Source organism: Homo sapiens, chromosome 1 (assembly GCF_000001405.40).
Source record: "Homo sapiens chromosome 1, GRCh38.p14 Primary Assembly".
Classification (NCBI taxonomy): domain Eukaryota; kingdom Metazoa; phylum Chordata; class Mammalia; order Primates; family Hominidae; genus Homo; species Homo sapiens.
In genome coordinates, this window is record NC_000001.11 from 244,476,747 (window position 1) to 244,499,351 (window position 22,605).

Sequence of the window (22,605 nt, forward strand, 5' to 3'; positions counted from 1 at the left end):
AATTGGTATACTTCAGGAGGGGAAAGAATTTCTAAATGAAAGAATAGAGAGGCAGGGAAAAAAGTAGCTTTAGAAATAAGAAAAAGATGAAAGTTATGTTAATAGTCAGTAACGTGTAAATAATAGGATCTCAGAATTAAAAGTGACTTGTTTTTAAGCGAAGGATCATTTCTCATTCGTCTTTGTTTTTTAATCCTCAGAACCTACCAGAGTGTCAGTCCCTTCTTAGATACTTAATAGATTATTTCTTTTCTTTTCTTTTTTTTGAGATGGAGTTTCGCTCTTGTCTCCCAGGCTGGAGTACAATGACGTGATGTCGGCTCACTGCAACCTCTGCCTCCCAGGTTCAAGCGATTCTCCTGCTTCAGCCTCCTGAGTAGCAGGGATTACAGGCGCGTGCCACCACGCCCAGCTAATTTTTGTATTTTTAGTAGAGACAGGGTTTCACCATGTTGGCCAGACTGGTCTCAAACTCCTGACCTCAGGTGATCCACCTGCGTCGGCCTCCCAAAGTGCTAGGATTACAGGCATGAGCCACTGCACCCGGCCAATGGATTATTGCTGAAGTAAATAAAATTAAAGGTTTACAGTTTTTTGGAGTGACTGCTTAAGTGTCCCAGATGGGTTAAGTTACCTTTTCTTTGTCACATTACTTTGTACAATTTAAAGGGAATTGAATTTTAGTTATTCTTTCTTTAAATAATTAGGACCCAGAAAATTGAATCCTACAACGGAACCCTGAGGTGAAAAGTTTGAATGATATTTTTTGTTCGAACTCTTGTTTTCTTTTTTAGATTAAGTTAGAGTATGAAGGAACATTATTTACTGAGTGGAGTGTGCCAGAAACTTGTTTTGTGCTAAATAAAAGGTAAGATTTATGCCATGAATATCAATGTATGTGTATATTTTTTAATTCATTCATATAATGTGAACATTGAGATTCAAGGCTGTGATTTAATATAAATTTTCTTTCATTAAGTAGATGTGAAAAGCAAGACAAAATCAGGTCGAATATAGTATAGAAGTAAAATATTGCAAATATTTAAAAATATCTCTTATCAGCATACAATTGAAATTTTTAGGCTTAAAAAATAGTAAGGGAATTTTATTAATATCATATGCACCTATAATTATTCTTTCTCATCTTTTTAAACACTAGCTCACCCACGACAGAATTGCGTTGTTCCTCACCTGGTGTTCACGCTATAAAACCAATTGTTACTGGCCCAGTAAGTTGTTTTAATGATATGTTATTAAATCTTGAATAATCATCCTGTTATCCTGTTACATTTTATTTTGCCTTTCTTTTGAGCTTTTCAATCTAATTTAACCTGTTTTAAATAGTATTAATTGTTAACTATAAACAAGCCCTATTTTAAAGTTATTGTATGTCAATTTTTAGATATATCTCATGTTAAATTCTAAATTATAAAATTATATACAATTTTTATCTTAGTCTTTTTATTACTAAGTATGTTAAAGTTCATAGCCACCACCTTAATGATAATAGGACTCTCAGATTAGTGGGTCTCCTGTCATACACCCCTGTGACAATGCTGAGATTAAGAGTAATTTCTAGCAGATTTATTTTACTCCACTGCATTTTCTTCAACTGAAGAAAACATGAGAATGCAAATGAATTAGAATGAGGTTGAACGTCTCTAGTTTACCAAAAACACCCAAAGGCAAAGTAAAGCATTTTAATACACTGGCATTTTAGTAATTAGTAACAAAATACTGGCTACATACTGCACAGCTGATGTTCCCACACAAGTGTGCCTGAAGCTGCAGTTCTACAGATACCATGTCACCAATCCTGCCTTTACTTTGAGGCTTGTGACTTCTCTTTAATTAAAAAGCTTTATTGTCAAGGCACAAGTAGACAGAGCGATGTGGGAGAAGCCAGATGAATATTTATTCATTTTTCAATCCTTATGATGTGAAACATATTTGAATTTGTCTCTTTGAGTCTATGAGTATTTGCCAATTTCAAGAACACAATTCATGCCGGGCGCGGTGGCTCACGCCTGTGATCCCAGCACTTTGGGAGGTGGGCAGATCACCTGAGGTCAGAAGTTCAAGACCAACCTGGCCAACATAGTGAAACCCCGTCTCTGCTAAAAATACAAAAAGTAGCCGGGTGTGGTGGCAGGCACCTGTAATCCCAGCTACTCAGGAGGCTGAGGCAGGAGAATCGCTCGAACCCGGGAGGTGGAAGTTGCAGTGAGCCAAGATTGCACCATTGTACTCCAGCCTGGGGGACAAGAGCCAAACTTCGTCTCAAAAAAAAAAAAAAAAAAAAAAAAAGATTTATGAGGAAGTAAGGGACTCCCTTTCCTTTTGTTTTTTGTTTTTTTTCCCCTTGAGATGGAGTTTCACTCTTATTGCCCAGGCTGGAGTGCAATGGTGCAATCTAGGCTCACCGCATCCTCCGCCTCCTGGGTTCAAGCGATTCTTCTGCCTCAGCCTCCGAAGTAGCTGGGATTACAGGCATGTGCCACCACACCCAGCTAATGTTGTATTTTGAGCAGAGATGGGGTTTCACCATGTTGGTCAGGCTGGTCTCGAACTTCTCACCACAGGTGATCCACCCACCTCGGCCTCCCAAAGTGCTGGGATTACAGGTGTGAGCCACTGCGCCAGGCCACATCTGACTTTTGAAAAGCACTCAGTTGTAACAACCGAAAGCATCTTTGGGCATTGCCAAAAGTCCCTGGGGAGCAAAATTACCCCAGTGAATGAGAACATTTTTTGAATTGTATTTCAGTGAGGAAGACAAATGTAATAAAAATGATAAAGATGGCAATATATAAATATTTAAATATATATTTAAATTCTATTCTGAACTTTATTCTGCTTCCTCTGATCGTGGATAAGTAACTTACTTCCTCTGTGACTTCTGTGGCTATATCCATATTTGCATTTGATTTAATGTTAATATATCACAGTTTCTTTTGCATTTTCTTTTAGGATGAAGAAGAACGCTATTTATTTGTGGAAAGTTCTCATACTTGCTTTCTGTGGTACTATAGAGTTAGGTAAGTAATGCAGTACTGAATAGGTAATTATGCTTTTAAAGAGTATTTAGCTTCAACTTTTAATTAGCCACAAATAGATTATCTATATTACGGTTTCCATACAACTTTCATTCACCAACCAAGCTATTCTCAAATATACTGCCGAAGAAATACTGAAGAACAAACAGTAAAAATAAGAGCAACCACTATTTGAGCACATGCTGTGTCTACATGTTTGTGCTTTAATATAAATTCTTTCTTAATTTTTATAATAACCACACAAATGTAAGTCTTTATAGTTGTGGAAACATAAGCATGGATGGGTTAAACAATTTGGAAAAAGTACAAAGCTACTAAAAGATAGCATTGAGATTTGACCCTGGTTTTTCAATCCAGAGGGCTCTTCTATTATATGCATTTCAAAAATACCTTCTTTGTATTGGATAGCTTTTCAAACTCATGACAAAATGAAGGTAGCTGAATATAAGGAGGGAAAAAGTGGTACATAACTACATAATTAACTGCATAAAAATCATTCAATAAGTTAAAAAAGTATCAGTGATTCGGAATATGCTTTAGCATCATAGTCTCGGCAACATCCCAGGCACCGTGTAGGACATAAGGAACTGTAGTATGTGGATCCTGACCCCAAGATGCCTGGAAAATACTTATTTCTTTGTATCCACTTCACGTTTATTCCCTTGGGGAAACTATTCCTCCGTATTCTGTGATAATATTGTTAATTTTGTGTGACGTATATGGTCTAACTACAAACCCACATTTCCTTGGTTACAGTTATTAGTTGAGGATTGGCACATACACGATCCAGGCAGAACCAATCAGAATACTCATGTCTTCAGTAAAGCATGGTTGTTGCTGATAGTTTTATTGTCCTGGTCCACGTAGTCCCTTAAAGTCAGATGGTTCTGCAGTTTATGTGGAATTTTTGGATTGGACATCCTGAGCTAGATTGTAAGTCCTAATAATACCGAGGTTTCAGCAAGCCCCACCAGGAGTACACATTAACCCAGTCCTCTCTCACTCACTGCCACTTTCCCGGAGTCTTATTGAGAAGCAGGGAGGATTGAGTCTCTGCTACTCATGAAACCGGCAGGCTTCTGTCCTTGTTGGCACTTTCAGAAATCCCAGTCCCCAGCTTTTCCTCTATGGGTTCTGAACCAGTTGAGAAATGGACAAGGGCAAATTTGGGGATAACAAGTCCTGGTAGAGCCCTGGCGCAGTGGCTCATGCCTGTAGTCCCAGCTACGCAGGAGGCTGAGTTAGGAGAATCACTTGACCCCAGAAATTTGAAGTTACTGTGTCAAGGTTACGGTGAGCTATAATTACACCACTGTACTCTGGCATGGTGACAGAATGAGACTCTGTCTCATAAAATAAAATAATAGGCCAGGCACAGTGGCTCACACCTGTAATCCCAGCATTTTGGGAGGCCAGGGCAGGTGGACCTGAAGTCAGGAGTTCAAGACCAGCCTGGCCAACATGGTGAAATCCCATCTCTATTAAAAATACAAAAAGAATTAGCCAGATGTGGTGGCGGGCGCCTGTAATCCCAGCTACTCGGGAGGCTGAGGGAGGAGAATCACTTGAACCTGGGAGGCGGAGGTTGCAGTGAGCTGAGATTGCACCACTGCATTTCAGCCTTGGCAGCAAGAGCAAAACTCCATCTCAAAATAAATAAATAAACAAATAAAAATAAAATATTCCTGGTAGAGCTGAATTGTAAAAAAGGACCTGCCCCTTTGGCCAAATGGGCTACTTTCTCTTCTCCCAAGTAGAGCTCTTGGGAACCATCAGAGAAGATAATCTGTTGCCATAAGACTGTATGTTTGTGTCCCACCCCATTTACCCCCAAATTTTTATGCTGAAACCTAATCCCCGATGTGATGGTATCTGAAGGTCACGCCTTTGGGAAGTGGTTAGGTCATGAGGGTACAGTCCTTATGAATGAGATTAGTGCTCGTACAAAAGAGAGCCCAAAGAGTTCCTTTTTCCCTTCCGCCATGCGAGGACCCAGTGAGAAGATAGCACCTTGATCTTTGGACTTTGCAGCCTCCAGAACTATGAGAAATAAAGGTTTGTTGTTAAAGCCACCCAGTCTATGGTATTTTTGTTATAGCAGCCCAAACTAGGACATCTGCCAAGAAGCACTGAATGGGTTACCAATTTCATTTACACACATTAAGACCTAAGAGCTAGGGCTGAAAGAAGTGGGCCTCCAGGCTACCCTGATCTAGACATGTTTTCTCCATGTAAATAAGAACAGAAGGAAAAGCACCTATCCAGGGGGCAGGTTAGTCCAAAAGAGAGAACTCCGTAGGGGCTAAGAGTTTTTCTGTAATATATATTGTAAGAATTTTCAGTCTGTCACCTGTAAAAATATCAATTAAAGAATAATAATGAGGCCTAGCATTGTGGCTCATGCTTGTAATCTCAATGTTTTGGGAGGCCAAGGTGAGAGGATTGCTTGAGCCCAGGGGTTCAAGACCAGTCTGGGAAACATAGCAAGACTTGTCTCTACAAAAAATATAAAAAATTTGCCAGGCATAGTGACTTGCATCTGTAGTCCCAACGACTTAGGAGGCTGAGGTGGGAGGATCACTTGAGCCCAGGAGTTCAAGACCATCCTGGGAAACATAGCAAGACTTGTCTCTACAAAAAACGTTAAAAAGTTGTCAGGCATGATGACTTGCATCTGTAGTTCCAACTACTTGTGAGGCTGAGGTAGGAGGTTCGCTTGAGCCCAGGAGTTTAAAGCTACCGTGAGCTATGATTGCGCCACTGCACTCCAGCCTCCATGACAGAGTGAGACCCCATCTCTAGAAAAAATAAAAATAAAAACAAAATAATAATAATTAATGGCTAGAAAGAGTACATAAAGAATAAAAAGGATAGTAATGAAATCAGTACCCACATATGCATTACCCAAATCAAGAAATAGAACATCACACCTCTTTATGCGCTACCAATCACATTCTATTCACCCTGCAAGAGTTAGACACTATCCTGGATATTGTTTTTTGTCTTTTTGTTATTTTATCCTAAATATTATATAATGAATGATTCCTTGCTTTTTTCTTTTAGTTTAGCGACTATATTTGATTATAATAAATTGTTTAGTTTTGTCAGTTCTTGAACATTGTTTAAATTGAATCATATGATAAGTATTCTTCCATGAGTTGCTTCTCTAAAAATTATGTTTTTGAGACTTACACATGTTTAAATAAGAATCTTTAGTTCCTTCATTGTGACTGCTCTATGGTATTTCATTGTATGACTCTGTTCATTCTGCTGATGCATTTATTTGCAACTACAAATGATGCTGTGAATGATCCTGAATATACCTCATAGTATCTTGCTACTTAAAATGTAATCTGAGGATCAGCAGCACTGACATCACCTGGAAATTTATTAGAAGTGAAGAACGTCAGGCCTCATTCCAGACCTATGGGATAATAATATGCACTTTAAGAAGATTCTATAGTAATTTACATGTGCATTATAGTTGGAGAAGTAGTACTGATTTAATGCATATAAATGAAGGTTTCTCTAAGGTAGAGACCTAAAAGTACAATTGCCTAAAAGTAGGATGTGCATTTGTTCAACTTTACTGGGTGATGCCTAAGTAACTTTTGAAAGATTGTCCAATTTTATATCCACACTAGTAGTACGTGAAAGTTTCCATTTTGCTATATCCTCACCAACACTTAAAATTGTCTGACTTTTTAATTTTTCCAGTCTACTAGGTACGAAATTATGTCATTGTATTTTTCTTTACATTTTACTGATTACTGATGCGTTGAGTGTTTTTTATCTGTTCAGCAGGAATTTTTCTTCTCTTTCCTATTCAATAAGTATTTTGATCCACTTTTGAGTTATTTTTATTTTCATAATAATTTACAGTATTTCATTATATGTCTTAATTACTACTCCATTATCACTTATATATGTATTGAAAGTATTCTGTCCCAGTTTATGTAGATTTTTACTTTCCATGACTCCTATTGATCAGAGAGGTCTTTAGTATTGTGGATAAATTTATTAATCCTTTCCTTTGTGGGTTTATGCCTTTTAAAATCTATTTAAGAAATCTTTTCCTACTTTCAAGATCATAAGGATTTCTCCTATATTGTTTTCTAAAAGTTTTATATGTTTTTTTCTTCTAAAATTAGGTCTTTAATCCACCTGGAATCAGTTTTTGTACAAGCTTAGAATAGGAATTCACTTTATTTTTTCTACATGAATAATTAATTTTCTCATACTTATTTAATGCATAATCTATTTATCCAGAATATCTTCTCTTTCACATATCAATTTTCCATATATGCATGGGTGTTTCTCTGGGCTGGCTGTTCTGTTCAGCTGATCTATTTGTCCATACTTGAACAAAACTACATTATCCTTATCACTATAACTGTATTTTTTAAATCTTAACAAGTGATAGTAGAAGTACCCACCCCACTCCAACTCTTCCCAACTTGATTTATACATTCAATGCAATCCCAATCAAAATCCCAGCAAGTTATTTTATAAATATCAATAAACACATCCTAGACCGTATATGGAGAAGCAAAAGACTCCGAATAGCCAACACAATATTGAAGAAGAGAAACACTGATAACACCCACTTCTGGTGAGGACATGAACCAGTAACAACTGTCTTTCATTACTGGTGGGAATGCAAAGTGATACAACCATGTAGGCTTCAGATGAGCGGTCTTATGCATCTTCTGTTAAATTTATTTTAAAGTATTTTATGTTTTTGGTGCAATTGTAATTGGTGTTGCAAACTTTAGAATTAGTAGGAATTTTACCTCCAAATATTCCCTTCCCGGTTTATGGCTTACTCCTTACCATCATTTTGGTGCTTTCTAGTTGTTTGTTTATCCTTCATATTGGACATTTTTCAGTCAATATTTATTTGGATTTATCCACAGACCTATCATTTCTTTGCTCAACAATGCTTATATTCTCAGACATGTTTTCTCATATTACCTTCTCTTCCTGAAGTATATCCTTTAACGGTTCCTTTAGGGAAGATTTCTTAGTGATTAAATTTCTCAGTATTCATGCCTCTGAAAATATCTTTATTTTATCCTCACTCTGGAAAAGTCATTTCTCTGGGAATATGATTATAGGTTGCTTGCTGTTTTCTCTCAGTGCTTTAAAATTATTTTTTCTTGTGTCTAGCTTCGACTTCAGTTGGTAAGTCGGCTGTCTTTCAAATGGTTTTTCCATTTTAGGTAATCTATATTTTCTCTGTGGTCGTTTTAAGATCTTGCCTTATCTTTGGTGTTTTACTATTGTATATTTCTTTTGAGATGTATTGCAGTTCCTGAATCTGAATATTGGTGTCTTTCATCAATTCTGGAAAATTCACATTGTCTTTTTTCTTTTTCTTTTTTTTTCTTTTTTTTTGAGACAGAGTCTCACTCTGTTGCCCAGGCTGGAGAAAGGTGGCATGATCTCAGCTCACTGCAACTTCTGCCTCATGGGTTCAAGTGATTCTCCTGCCTCAGCCTCCCTAGCAGCTGGAATTACAGGCACCCACCACCACACCTGGCCAATTTTTGTATTTTTAGTAGAGATGGGGTTTCATCATGTTGGCCAAGCTAGTCTCGAACTCCTGACCTTGGTGATCCACCCACCTAAGCCTCACAAAGTGCTGGGATTACAGGCATGAGTGGCTGTGCCTGGCCTATCTTTTTAAATATTCGTTCTCCCTTATTCTTTTTTTTTCTTTCTAGATTTTCTTAAGAGAAATGTATATCACCTTTTAATTCTGTCCTTCCTGACTCTTAAAATCTTGTTAACTTTTTCCATCTTTCTGTCTCGTTGTGATTCATTCTTGGTTATTTTTTAAGTGTTTCATTCAGTTCACTAATTATCTCATTATCCATGTCTAAATTTTGTTTTTTTTGTTTTTTTTTTTTTGAGATAGGATCTTGTCCTGTCACCCAGGCTGGAGTGCAGTAGTGCAATCGTAGCTCACGTAACCTCAAACTCTTGGTGTCAGGCACTCCTCCCACCTCTACCTCCTGAATACCTGGGACTACAGGCACACACCACTGTGCTCCATCTTTTTTTTTTTTCTTGTACAGACAGGGTTTCACTTTGTTGCCCAAGGTAGTCTCAAGCTGTTGGCCTCAAGCAATCCTCCTGCCTTGGCCTCCAAAAGCACTGGGAGCCACCACACCAGGCCTCTATCTAAATTTTGTAATCCCTAAAATCCTTTTACCCAGAGGTAATTGCTATACTCTTCTGCCATTTCTGCATCATTACATCCAAAATTGGCTACATAAATTTGTGAGGCCTGGTGTAAAATGAAAGTGTGGGGGTCTCTTGCTCAGAAAGCAGGGGGGAAATACTGTTAAAGATATCAAATATAAAGCTTTTTTCTCCTTTAGTCACTCTCACTACCTGTCATGGTGTTTTTTATTTGCAATTTAACATCATGCTCCCTTAGACAAGGAGTACTCGTGGGCCAAGTGTAGACCCTCGTAGTCACCTGGTGGGTGGTTCAGCATGTGGGGTACTCGTGGGCCAGGTACAGACCCTTGTAGTCACCTGGTGGGTGGTTCAGCATGTGGGGTACTCGTGGGCCAGGTACAGACCCTCGTAGTCACGTGGTGGGTGGTTCAGCGTGTGGAATACTCGTGGGCCAGGTACAGACCCTTGTAGTCACCTGGTGGGTGGTCCAGCATGTGGGGTACTCGTGGGCCAGGTGTAGACCCTCGTAGTCACCTGGTGGGTGGTCCAGCATGTGGAGTACTCGTGGGCCAGGTGTAGACCCTCGTAGTCACCTGGTGGGTGGTCCAGCATGTGGAGTACTCGTGGGTCAGGTGTAGACCCTCGTAGTCACCTGGTGGGTGGTCCAGCATGTGGAGTACTCGTGGGCCAGGTATAGACCCTCGTAGTCACCTGCTGGGTGGTCCAGCATGTGGAGTACTCGTGGGCCAGGTGTAGACTCTCGTAGTCACCTGGTGGGTGGTCCAGCATGTGGAGTACTCGTGGGCCAGGTGTAGACCCTCGTAGTCACCTGGTGGGTGGTCCAGCATGTAGAGTACTCGTGGGCCAGGTGTAGACCCTCGTAGTCACCTGGTGGGTGGTCCAGCATGTGGAGTACTCGTGGGCCAGGTGTAGACCCTCGTAGTCACCTGGTGGGTGGTCCAGCATGTGGAGTACTCGTGGGCCATGTGTAGACCCTCGTAGTCACCTGGTGGGTGGTTCAGCATGTGGGGTACTCGTGGGCCAGGTACAGACGCTCGTAGTCACCTGGTGGGTGGTTCAGCATATGGAATACTCGTGGGCCAGGTACAGACCCTCGTAGTCACCTGGTGGGTGGTTCAGCGTGTGGAATACTCGTGGGCCACATACAGACCCTCGTAGTCACCTGGTGGGTGGTTCAGCATGTGGAATAGTTGTGGGCCAGGTGCAGACCCTCGTAATCACCTGGTGGGTGGTTCAGCATGTGGAATACTTATGGGCCAGGTACAGACCCTTCTAGTCACCTGGTGGGTGGTTCAACATGTGCACAGCCCACCAGCCGCCATATTTCCCTTCTCAATAGACCTACACATCATGCCCAGCCAGTGGAGGGGTCTGAGGTAGTCAAGCCGTGTAGCTTCCCTTCATGGGCCTCCCACCTCAACCCCCGAGGGTATTGCAGCCTCTACACTGGGCCATGCTAGATACCTGGATTAGGGGGAGGCAAGAGGTTTACTCCTGCCAAGATGAGTAAGCCACGCCATCATCACCATCATTATGCCATGGTGCTGCCAGCCAGCATGGGACAGCCGCTAACGTGCCTTACTCCAGGACACTGCAGCGTGCAGTTGCCCTACCCCGACAATCCCCCAACACCTGAGCCTAGGCCCTCACCCAGGTCAAAGACAGAAGCAGCTTGTGGGACAGGGATTAAGGAGGGGAAGGCTGGTCAGGACCCAAGGTGCCAGAGCATGGAGGGGAATCAGGGGTAAATAATCCATCCCAGGGAGGCAGAGAGGCAGCAGGAGGCGGGACTGTACGGGAGCCAAAACCCCTCGTCCCCAGTGCATGCTTCATTGTCTCATCACACTTCGCTTACAAAACATAATTTCAAAGATAAATTTGTTAACAATTTCAAGATAAATACTGTAGAGTACAGGACCCTTCTAAGCACTGCCTCTTTCCCCAGGCTCTCGACACCTATTGACTCTGCCCCCAAACCAGAGTTCTGACACTAGAAAGAATTCATGAACAATTATCATGTTAACATCCAAACTCTCTTGCTTTCTTCTTTCTCTGTCTCTCAAGAGTTAATAAAAAGGGAAAAGGATCCATGGAGTTGTGCTGAAACTAGTCTTCCCAAGTTCACTGTGACATTTTTCTGTTTCATCACTGTATCCCACTACTATCTCTCTGTCTTCTGAAACTGCTGTGGCAAAGTCACTGAAGGTAATTGCCAAATTCGATGGGATTTTTTTGATCCTCTTACTGTAATACTTAATTTCTATACCACATTTAATTCTGAGAATCACTTTCTTTTTGAAACTCTTTCATTCCTTCACTCCCTAATACCACTATGTTCTATTTCCATAATGGTTTTTTCCCAGTCTTTTCCTTTGGCTTTCTGTCATCTGTCCTTACCTTAAATGTCAATTCAATCCAGGGTTTTCTCTTCGGTCTTATTCTCAACTCTACACTTCAGCCTGTGCACTAACTCAAGAAAGCCAAGAAAACTGATAAAGACCCAGAAGAATGCTGCTAATATTGTCTTTCCATGGAAATTCAGACTGTCACTTTAATGTCAGCTGATACTGATTCCTTCTCTACAAGGTTACTGTATTAATACGAAAGCCTTTCTTTTATTATCGACAAGTATTTCCTTTTGCCTTCAAATTTTCCTTCCAGATACGCTGGTAACTCACTCAGTGACTCAGTTCTTCTTCCCTGTGCCTCTGACAAGTAAGCATAACACAAGGCAGAAGGTATCAGCCCTGGAGCCGGGGTCTTTTTAATCAACCTTGGACTGTGTTGAACTCTGGGCATAGTTTACCTATTAAGATATATAGTAGCTATTTTCAGCAGCTTTCTAACATATCAGATTGAACACATGAAATAGAATATTCATTATATGGTCTCAGAAACTCACTGCATACTCATTTACTGATTCCCAAAACATTTTCATTTTGTTTTGTGCATGATAATGTACTAGACACTGCAGTAATCAGCAAATGGAAGGACATAGTCATGAGGCACTGACTTTTAGAGATGATAAATGCTAAAAATATGCAGGTAACTTTACAGTGAAAAAAACTTTCTAGAAAACATACAACTAAACATACAAATGAATATTAGTCCTTTTTTATTTTATAATTAAAAATAGAGACACGTTCTTACTATGTGTCCCAGGCTGGTCTCAAACTCCTGGGCTCAAGCAGTCCTCCTGCCTCGGGCTCCCAAAGTGCTGGGATTACAGGTGTGAGCCACCAGGCCCGGCCTGTTATTCCTTTCAGGGCTGGTGAGGGAAGGATTTGTCATGCTAAAAGACAAATTTCTGTTTGACATAAATTATAACATGTAAAGACTGTAGGGTTTTTTATGCAGAATGACAATATCAACATTTTAAAGAAGATTAATCATGAAGTTTTGATTCTGTGAACTTGCAGTATTAAGGAAGCATGCAGATTTTTTTTTTTTTTTTTTTTTTTTTTTTTTTGGTGGAAAGAAAGAGGTTTATTGAAGTGCTAGCAGCTGAAGAGACAGCTGGAGTCAGGTCTCAAAAAGCCATCTCAAATTCTCAGGCTGGCTAATGGGGTTTGAAGAGGAAGGCGGCATGGAAACTATGTGCAGGAGTGATGTAGGTTGCAGGTCTGCTTGTCATTTTCCAGTGGCTGTCTTGAATAATGAACCCTCTGGAGGCCTTGGTGTCAACTTGCTTAGGTCAGGGTATGGATTAACTGTGCACCAATTTCTTCTCAGAAGGGAGAAAACTTTAACTGCCATCTCCACTTTACGCCTGAGTTGCTTTAAGATTAGCCTTTGGAATTCTCAAGCAAACACGTAGTTAGATATATGTATAGCAAGAAAAAAAAATGAGGGAGGGATTACTTTTTAAAGCAAGCTAGCAAATTGGCCGTACTGGTTACTGGGAGAGAGCATCAATGAGAAAAGAAATAGATTAGCACTGAGTATTAAGAAACCTCAACATTTAACAGGTTATTGTTGGCAGACGAGCATTCAGTGGAGATTGTAAAGTGGTTAGAAATGTGTGAGGATGAACAGGAGAGGGTAAGGAGGGTACTTCAAGAAGCAAAGAGTGATCAACAAGGACAAATGATGCTTTTTGTTAAAATCATATGAGGACTTTGAAATATTCATTTCGTAACTTCAAGGTCATTATTAATCTTAGCGTGAGCGGTTTTGGTGATGTTATTGAGGCAGGAAGCATGCAGATTTAAGCCACTCAGCCTTCTGTGATGACAAATGAGAATCAGTAACGATATTGATAAATAAATAGACATGTGATTTTTTGTTTTTACATTTAGCCTTTAATTTTATATACCGTAATGAAATATAAAGAGAATATGCAAAGGTTTAGAAACATGTATCTTGAAAGTAGAATATTCGACCTAATGTTTAACAGGCTGTTTACTAAAATATGTTTCCTCTTTTTCCAAGCAGACATTTCTTTAACAACTTTACCCAGGTAAAATATTTTTTAAATTTTGTATAGCCTTCATATATCACTAGTATATTGTTTCTCTCTTATCTTCCATATTTACCAGATGAGGAATTTTTCAAATGAATTTTGCAATGATATTTGCTTAGAGTATACCTTTCTATAAGACCCATTCAGGAGGTCCATGAGGTTCACCCTTTTCTAACCACCTATCTGCATAAGGATGGATCTTCCCCCCTTTTACTTCTACCGAGATAATATTCACCAACAACTTGGCTGAAGGAGCAGAGATGATTATCCAGCTGTCTTTTATTAATACAAATATTAAAGATAGTTTTTAAAATATTGAGCATCCATTCTTACTGATATTTTTCTTTTGAAAAATAGTTATTTTTCATAAAAATACGTTAATTAACATATAATAAATTTACCATAGTCTTGAAAAAAAATTATCTTTAAATGTTCTCAATTTTAATTTGTTATATAGTAAATACAGGTGGATCTAAACCACATAAAACAAAAGCCTTGTAGGATTCTTAATAATTTTTAAAAGTATGAAGGGGGTCCTACTGTCAACATTAGACAGATCAACGAGACAGAAAGTTAACAAGGATACCCAGGAATTGAACTCAGCTCTGCACCAAGCGGACCTAATAGACATCTACAGAACTCTCCACCACAAATCAACAGAATATACATTTTTTTCAGCACCACACCACACCTATTCCAAAATTGACCACATACTTGGAAGTAAAGCTCTCCTCAGCAAATGTAAAAGAACAGAAATTATAACAAACTGTCTCTCAGACCACAGTGCAATCAAACTAGAACTCAGGACTAAGAAACTCACTCAAAACCGCTAACTACATGGAAACTGAACAACCTGCTCCTGAATGACTACTGGGTACATAACGAAATGAAGGCAGAAATAAAGATGTTCTTTGAAACCAACGAGAACAAAGACACAACATACCAGAATCTCTGGGACACATTCAAAGCAGTGTGTAGAGGGAAATTTATAGCACTAAATGCCCACAAGAGAAAGCAGGAAAGATCCAAAATCGACACCCTAACGTCACAATTAAAAGAACTAGAAAAGCAAGAGCAAACACATTCAAAAGGCAGCAGAAGGCAAGAAATAACTAAAATCAGGCAGAACTGAGGGAAATAGAGACACAAAAAACCCTTCAAAAAATTAATGAATCCAGGAGCTGGTTTTTTGAAAAGACCAACAAAATCGATAGACCGCTAGCAAGACTAATAAAGAAGAAAAGAGAGAAGAATCAAATAGATGCAATAAAAAATGATAAAGGGGATATCACCACCGATCCCATAGAAATACAAACTACCATCAGAGAATACTACAAACACCTCTACACAAATAAACTAGAAAATCCAGAAGAAATGGATAAATTCCTTGACACATACACTCTCCCAAGACTAAACCAGGAAGAAGTTGAATCTCTGAATAGACCAATAACAGGCTCTGAAATTGTGGCAATAATCAATAGTTTACCAACCAAAAAAAGTCCAGGACCAGATGGATTCACAGCCCAATTCTACCTGAGGTACAAGGAGGAGCTGGTACCATTCCTTCTGAAACTATTCCAATCAATAGAAAAAGAGGGAATCCTCCCTAACTCATTTTATGAGGCCAGCATCATCCTGATACCAAAGCCTGGCAGAGACACAACCAAAAAAGAGAATTTTAGACCAATATCCTTGATGAACATTGATGCAAAAATCCTCAATAAAATACTGGCAAACTGAATCCAGCAGCACATCAAAAAGCTTATCCACCATGATCAAGTGGGCTTCATCCCTGGGATGCAAGGCTGGTTCAACATATGCAAATCAATAAATGTAATCCAGCATATAAACAGAAGCAAAGACAAAAACCACATGATTATCTCAATAGATGCAGAAAAGGCCTTTGACAAAATTCAACAACCCTTCATGCTAAAAACTCTCAATAAATTAGGTATTGATGGGACATATCTCAAAATAATAAGAGCTATCTATGACAAACCCACAGCCAATATCATACTGAATGGGCAAAAACTGGAAGCATTCCCTTTGAAAACTGGCACAAGACAGGGATGCCCTCTCTCACCACTCCTATTCAACATAGTGTTGGAAGTTCTGGCCAGGGCAATTAGGCAGGAGAAGGAAACAAAGGGTATTAAATTGGGAAAAGAGGAAGTCAAATTGTCCCTGTTTGCAGACGACATGATTGTATATCTAGAAAACCCCATCGTCTCAGCCCAAAATCTCCTTAAGCTGATAAGCAACTTCAGCAAAGTCTCAGGATACAAAATCAATGTACAAAAATCACAAGCATTCTTATACACCAATAACAGACAAACAGAGAGCCAAATCATGAGTGAACTCCCATTCACAATTGCTTCAAAGAGAATAAAATACCTAGGAATCCAACTTACAAGGGATGTGAAGGACCTCTTCAAGGAGAACTACAAACCACTGCTCAATGAAATAAAAGAGGATACAAAGAAATGGAAGAACATTCCATGTTCATGGGTAGGAAGAATCAATATCGTGAAAATGGCCATACTGCCCAAGGTAATTTACAGATTCAATGCCATCCCCATCAAGCTACCAATGACTTTCTTCACAGAATTGGAAAAAACTACTTTAAAGTTCATATGGAACCAAAAAAGAGCCCGCATCTCCAAGTCAATCCTAAGCCAAAAGAACAAAGCTGGAGGCATCATGCTACCTGACTTCAAACTATATATACTACAAGGCTACAGTAACCAAAACAGCATGGTACTGGTACCAAAACAGAGATATAGATCAATGGAACAGAACAGAGCCCTCAGAAATACTGCCACATATCTACAACCATCTGATCTTTGACAAACCTGAGAAAAACAAGCAATGGGGAAAGGATTCCCTATTTAATAAATGGTGCTGGGAAAACTGGTTGGCCATATGTAGAAAGCTGAAACTGGATCCCTTCCTTACACCTTATACAAAAATTAATTCAAGATGGATTAAAGACTTACATGTTAGACCTAAAACCATAAAAACCCTAGAAGAAAACCTAGGCAATACCATTCAGGACATAGGCATGGGCAAGGACTTCATGTCTAAAACACCAAAAGCCACAGCAACAAAAGCCAAAACTGACAAATGGGATCTAATTAAACTAAAGAGCTTCTGCACAGCAAAAGAAACTACCATCAGAGTGAACAGGCAACCTACAAAATGGGAGAAAATTTTTGCAACCTACTCATCTGACAAAGGACTAATATCCAGAATCTACAATGAACTCAAACAAATTTACAAGAAATAAACAAACAACCCCATCAAAAAGTGGGTGAAGGATATGAACAGACACTTCTCAAAAGAAGACATTTATGCAGCCAAAAAACACATGAAAAAATGCTCATCAATCACTGGCCATCAGAGAAATGCAAATCAAAACCACAATGAGATACCATCTCACTCCAGTTAGAATGGCGATCATTAAAAAGTCAGGAAACAACAGGTGCTGGAGAGGATGTGGAGAAATAGGAACACTTTTACACTGTTGATGGGACTGTAAACTAGTTGAACCATTGTGGAAGTCAGTGTGGCGATTCCTCAGGGATCTAGAACTAGAAATACCATTTGACCCAGCCATCCCATTACTGGGTATATACCCAAAGGATTATAAATCATGCTGCTATAAAGACACATGCACACGTATGTTTATTGCGGCACTATTCACAATAGCAAAGACTCGGAACCAACCTAAATGTCCAACAACAATAGACTGGATTAAGAAAATGTGGCACATATACACCATGGAATACTATGCAGCCATAAAAAATGAAGAATTCATGTCCTTTGTAGGGACATGGATGAAACTGGAAACCATCATTCTCAGCAAACTATCACAAGGACAAGAAACCAAACACCGCATATTCTCACTCATAGGTGGGAATTGAACAATGAGAACACATGGACACAGGAAGGGGAACATCCCACTCTGGGGACTGTTGTGGGGTGGGGGGAGGGGGGAGGGATAGCATTAGGAGATATACCTAATGCTAAATGACGAGTTAATGGGTGCAGCACACCAACATGGCACATGTATACATATGTAACAAACCTGCACATTGTGCACATGTACCCTAAAACTTAAAGTATAATAAAAAAAAAAAGTATGAAGGGGGTCCTAAGATCAAAAAGTTTTAAAATTCTGGAATAGAGGATGATTAGAAGTGTGATGGAAAGATATATTCAAAATGTTGAAAATTGAAATAAGGTTATAATATTTGGAAATTACACCTCTATATAGATATTGTAAGTCTCTAAAAGCAGCAACTTACCAGAAAAAAAGAAGTAGTAAAAAAAGATAAACTGTGTGTAGTGGATCAAGATGATTGCGTAAGCTCATGTGCCCATAACTACTCCTACTCCAAATCCCATTGATATTACGGAATTATTTTTTGAGGCTACAACTATAACAATGCTCAAAAGCAAATAATAATATTATCAGTAATTAAGGAATTTTAATATACATAGAAAATATAAGAGAACTTACAGAAGTAGAATATATATTACAGACTCAAATAATGCAGAATAACCTCCTTCTCACTCAAAACACAGAAATGCCTATAGAAAATATATGTGTGTACACTGCCAGTACACACACTCACAGACCTTTACGTTAATATAGGTGCGGTGTGCATATGGAATTTAAGAGCAGGAAAAGGAATTTCCTGATGGTCAGAAATAATTAAGGAACTCAAAGCCAGAGTTGCAAGATTGAATTAGAACAGAATGTGAGCTTTCTAGAAAATATACAACTAAACATACAAATGAATATTATTCCTTTTTTGTTTTATTTTATAGTTAAAAGTAGTGAAAAAGGGGTGATGTTTTAATGATTTTATGGGAATAGGGAATGAAAGTTTCGGCCTGTGGGAGTAAAGGGAGCTGAAACTAACCTCCCTATATGAAGTTAGGATTTAGAAAATGTCTTGGCCAGGAGCGGTGGCTCACGCCTGTACAAATCCCAGAACTTTGGGAGGCTGAGGCAGGCAGATCATGAGGTCAGGAGATTGAGACCATCCTGGCCAACACAGTGAAACCCAGTCTCTACTAAAGATACAAAAATTATTTCAGCATGGTGGTGCATGCCTGTAATCCCAGCTACTCGGGAGGCTGAGGCTGGAGAATCACTTGAACCAGGGAGTCAGAGATTGCAGTGAGCCGAGATTGCGCCACTGCATTCCCGCCTGGCGACAGAGCGAGACTCCATCTTAAAAAATAATAATAATAATAAAATATTTAAAATGTATAAATGTCTGTAAAATGGGGACTGGTAAAGCTCTACTGACTGGCTTAGGATAATTACAAAGAAATGATACACCTCTTTTTGGGGCTGTAAACAGATAAGGGATTACCCAGATTTCAGATGCACATCCTAATTTAACAGCCCAAGAGATTCGGAACCTACAGCTAAGAAATAAATACAAATACAACTTTGCAAGCAGTCAAACACATAGCGCCCAGGCGGAAGTGATTGCAAAACCTATTTCCATGACGTGACCTTGCTGAGTTTTGATTTATATTCAGGCGTGTGAAATCAGTAACAAAAACAAAAACAAAAAAGGATCAGTAACAAAATTACCTAGAAAATCCCCATGTTGGGGAATTTAAACATTTCTGTATCCATGGGCCAAAAAAGAAACCAATCGTTTAAACTAAACAATTAAGACCTCCAGGCAGATAGTAAAGGACACAAAACACCTTTACTCCTGCTTTAAAAAGAAATCACATGATAAAATTTTAAAATCCTTTAAAGAATCAAAGAGCTGTGAGTAAAATGAAATCTAAAGGTGTTACATTCCAGAAGAATGAGTCCTTGCTAGGTGAACAAAAGCCTGAGAGTGTTTTCACGCTTAGGACCACTAGCTAAGGTTGGAGGCAGGACAGAAGAGCAAACTGGCCAATGATGGATGGGTAGACTTGGCTGGGATGAGGTGAAACCAGTTGAACTTTTGACTCATGTGTGAGCTGGTGTATCTGATTTGAATCTGAAAGAGTACAAAAGCAAAGATAATTCTCTCCACTTGTCAATGTCTCACATGGGAGTTTTACTTAATAACATGCATTATACCTATATGACAAAACTTCAGAACTCTCCTGAAGGAAAGGCATACTATTTCCTTAATAAATGTCCTCTACAACATAAAGATACGGATTTTCCTGAATTTATAAATGCAATGCCATCTTAATGAAAAAAATATACTTTTTCAGAACTAGACAAGATGTTTCCAGAATTGCTATGGATTAAACAAAAACAGTGTTCAGAAAAACACTGAATAAGAACAGGGATAGGGTACTGGTCATGGCAGGCATTGAAATACACAGTGAAGCCTTCATATTTAAAGTGTGAGATACTAACTCTTGAAAAGGCAGTCAAGATCAATACAAAAGCATAAGAATCCAGAAATAACCAAAATACAGTTAGGTCTTTACTAAGCAATGAAGGTAGCATCTCAAATCCCTGGGGAGAAGATGGACTAGTCAATAAATGATATTTAGATAAGTGGGTAGTCACACTTACTTAATAAAAAGCAAAGATTGGAGTCATACCTTACATAGTACACCAAAATAAATTCAAAATAATTTTACATTGAATATGTAAATACAATAAATCCAGTAACAATTAAAGAAAACATGGAAGAATTCTCTTACAACCTGGTAATTGGAGACCTTTCTAACTATATCACAAAATCCAGAAAGCAAACCAAGCTATATGATAATTTTTACTCCATAAAGCTGGAAGATAAGTAAATGACAGATAACATGGCCAAAAATTATCATAAACTCAAAAGAAAATGGAATACAGGTAGAAAAATACAACTGATTCAAGTAAACAAATCAATGTCTTCTTAATACGTAAAAAAATTTCAAATAAACCATTAAAAGAGAAACAATCCAACAAAAAAAAAATGAGCGAATGAAATCCAAGTGGAACTTGAACATATGGAAAGTTGCTCAAACTTTCTCAAAATAAGAGAAATGCAGATTTAAACTATACTGCAGTACCAGGCTGGATATGCTGGCTCATGCCTGTAATCCCAGCACTTTGGGAGGCCGAGGCAGGCAGATCACCTGAGGTCAGGAGTTCGAGACCAGCCTGGCCAACATGGCGAAACCCCATCTCTACTAAAAATATAAAAAATAGCCGGGCATGGTGCTGGGCACCTGTAATCCCAGCTACTCGGGAAGCTGAGGCAGGAAAATCACTTGAACCCAGGAGGTGGAGGTTGCAGTGAGGTGAGATTGCACCATTGCACTCCAGCCTGGGCGACAGAGCAAAACTCCATCTCAAATAAAAATAAATAAAAATTTTAAAAAATGATACCACAGTACCATTTTTCATCCATCAGACTGGCAGTAATCAATGTATGACAAAACCTGATGTTGGGAAAGAACATGAGGAAAGAAGAACTCTCATACATCACCACTGAGAGGGCATATTGGTGCAACTGCTGCAGAGAGCAGTTTATCAGTATCTATGAAAATTGCAGTGTATTTACCCCATGACTCAACAATTACACTTTTAGGAATGTGCCCTACCAATATGCTCAAAGTTGTACAAAGTTGCTCATTGTAGCATTGACTGATTATAATGGCAAGGGAGAAACAAACGTTTATCAGTAGGTTACTGGTTAAATAAATTGTAGTTCCTCCATAATTTAGAATAACATCCAACTGAAAAATCAGTGAAAATATGTAAAGATCTCTAAAATAACTTTAGATGATGAACAGAAGATTCAGAAAAAATATGTTTAGCATGCTAGCATTTTGTAAAAGGGATGAAAATAATATATCTATTGGTTATACACAAACATTTTATAGGAATCTAAGCAAGAACTTACGAATAATACTTACCTATGGGGTGCAGATGGATTTATGGGAATTGAGTGATGGAGTACAGGGTGGGAGAGACAGCTTTTGCTATATTTTTAATATAATTTTTAAGTATATGAATATTCAAGAAAAATAAGAAAGAAAATTAGTTCTGCATCTATTGAACTCTCATCAAGTGACAAATGTTAAGTTACAAGCGTGATTTCATTTTTATAAAAAGTATGTGAGTGGGGGGGTGAGGTTGTCATGTCTATTTATGGCTATAAAGAAAGATGGGCTGGGCGTGGTGGCTCACGCCTGTAATCGCAGCACTTTGGGAGGCCAAGGCAGGCAGATCACCTGAGGTCAGGAGTTTGAGACCAACCTGGCCAACATGGTGAAACCCCGTCTCTACTAAAAATACAAAAATTAGCCAGGCATGGTGGTGGGCGCCTGTAATCCCAGCTACTCGGGAGGCTGAGGCAGGAGAATTGCTTGAACCCAGGAGGCAGAGGTTGCAGTGAGCTGAGATTGCACCCCTGCACTCCAGCCTGGGCGACAGAGCAAGACTCCATCTCAAAAAAATAAAAAAATAAAAACATGTTTATGGTTATGTTTTGCCACAACTAAAAAAGAAATTTGTACAAAATGTAAAGAAATGCAAACAAATTTTATTTTCTAGCTTATCACTGTGTGGGCATATGATCCAGAAAGTGCAGATCCTGATGAGTTGCTGGGGAATGCAGAAGAACCTTCAATAGTAGGTGGAAACATTAGTATCGTCATAGTAAGAACAGAATGCTGCCTTTCTTTTGTAGGGACTGTGAAAAATTTATAATCAATAGACAGGATTTTAAGCTGCCCACACCTAACTAAATACATTTGCATGATCCCTTTTAGTTTAGCCATTATAGTAGTTTTGAACTTATGCTTAATCTCTACAATAATAAACCTTTCTTTAGAACTCTAATTGAACATTCTTCATATTTTCTTTTTTCTTTTTATTTATTTATTTTTAAATTTTACTCTAAG

General features: G+C 38.8%; 1 protein-coding gene across 23 annotated transcripts in view; it reads left to right on the top strand.

Annotated features, from left to right (window-relative positions):
* CATSPERE (catsper channel auxiliary subunit epsilon) overlaps positions 1 to 22,605 on the top strand; it is a 189,263-nt gene that overhangs the window by 25,505 nt on the left and 141,153 nt on the right. For 16 of the 23 annotated variants that reach the window (XR_001737095.2, XR_001737096.2, XR_001737099.2 and 13 more), the window contains 5 exons: positions 795 to 868; positions 1,160 to 1,229; positions 2,971 to 3,038; positions 13,701 to 13,725; positions 22,256 to 22,333. Coding sequence is in view for 14 of the 23 variants with exons in the window: in XM_011544138.3 (XP_011542440.1) it covers positions 795 to 868; positions 1,160 to 1,229; positions 2,971 to 3,038; positions 13,701 to 13,725; positions 22,256 to 22,333 (315 nt within the window). In the remaining 9 variants the exon portion in view is untranslated. Of the gene's footprint in view, positions 1 to 794; positions 869 to 1,159; positions 1,230 to 2,970; positions 3,039 to 13,700; positions 13,726 to 22,255; positions 22,334 to 22,605 lie in introns of those variants that run through there. The other 7 variants (XM_047417109.1, XM_017000945.3, NM_001242340.2 and 4 more) reach the window with 3 other exon arrangements.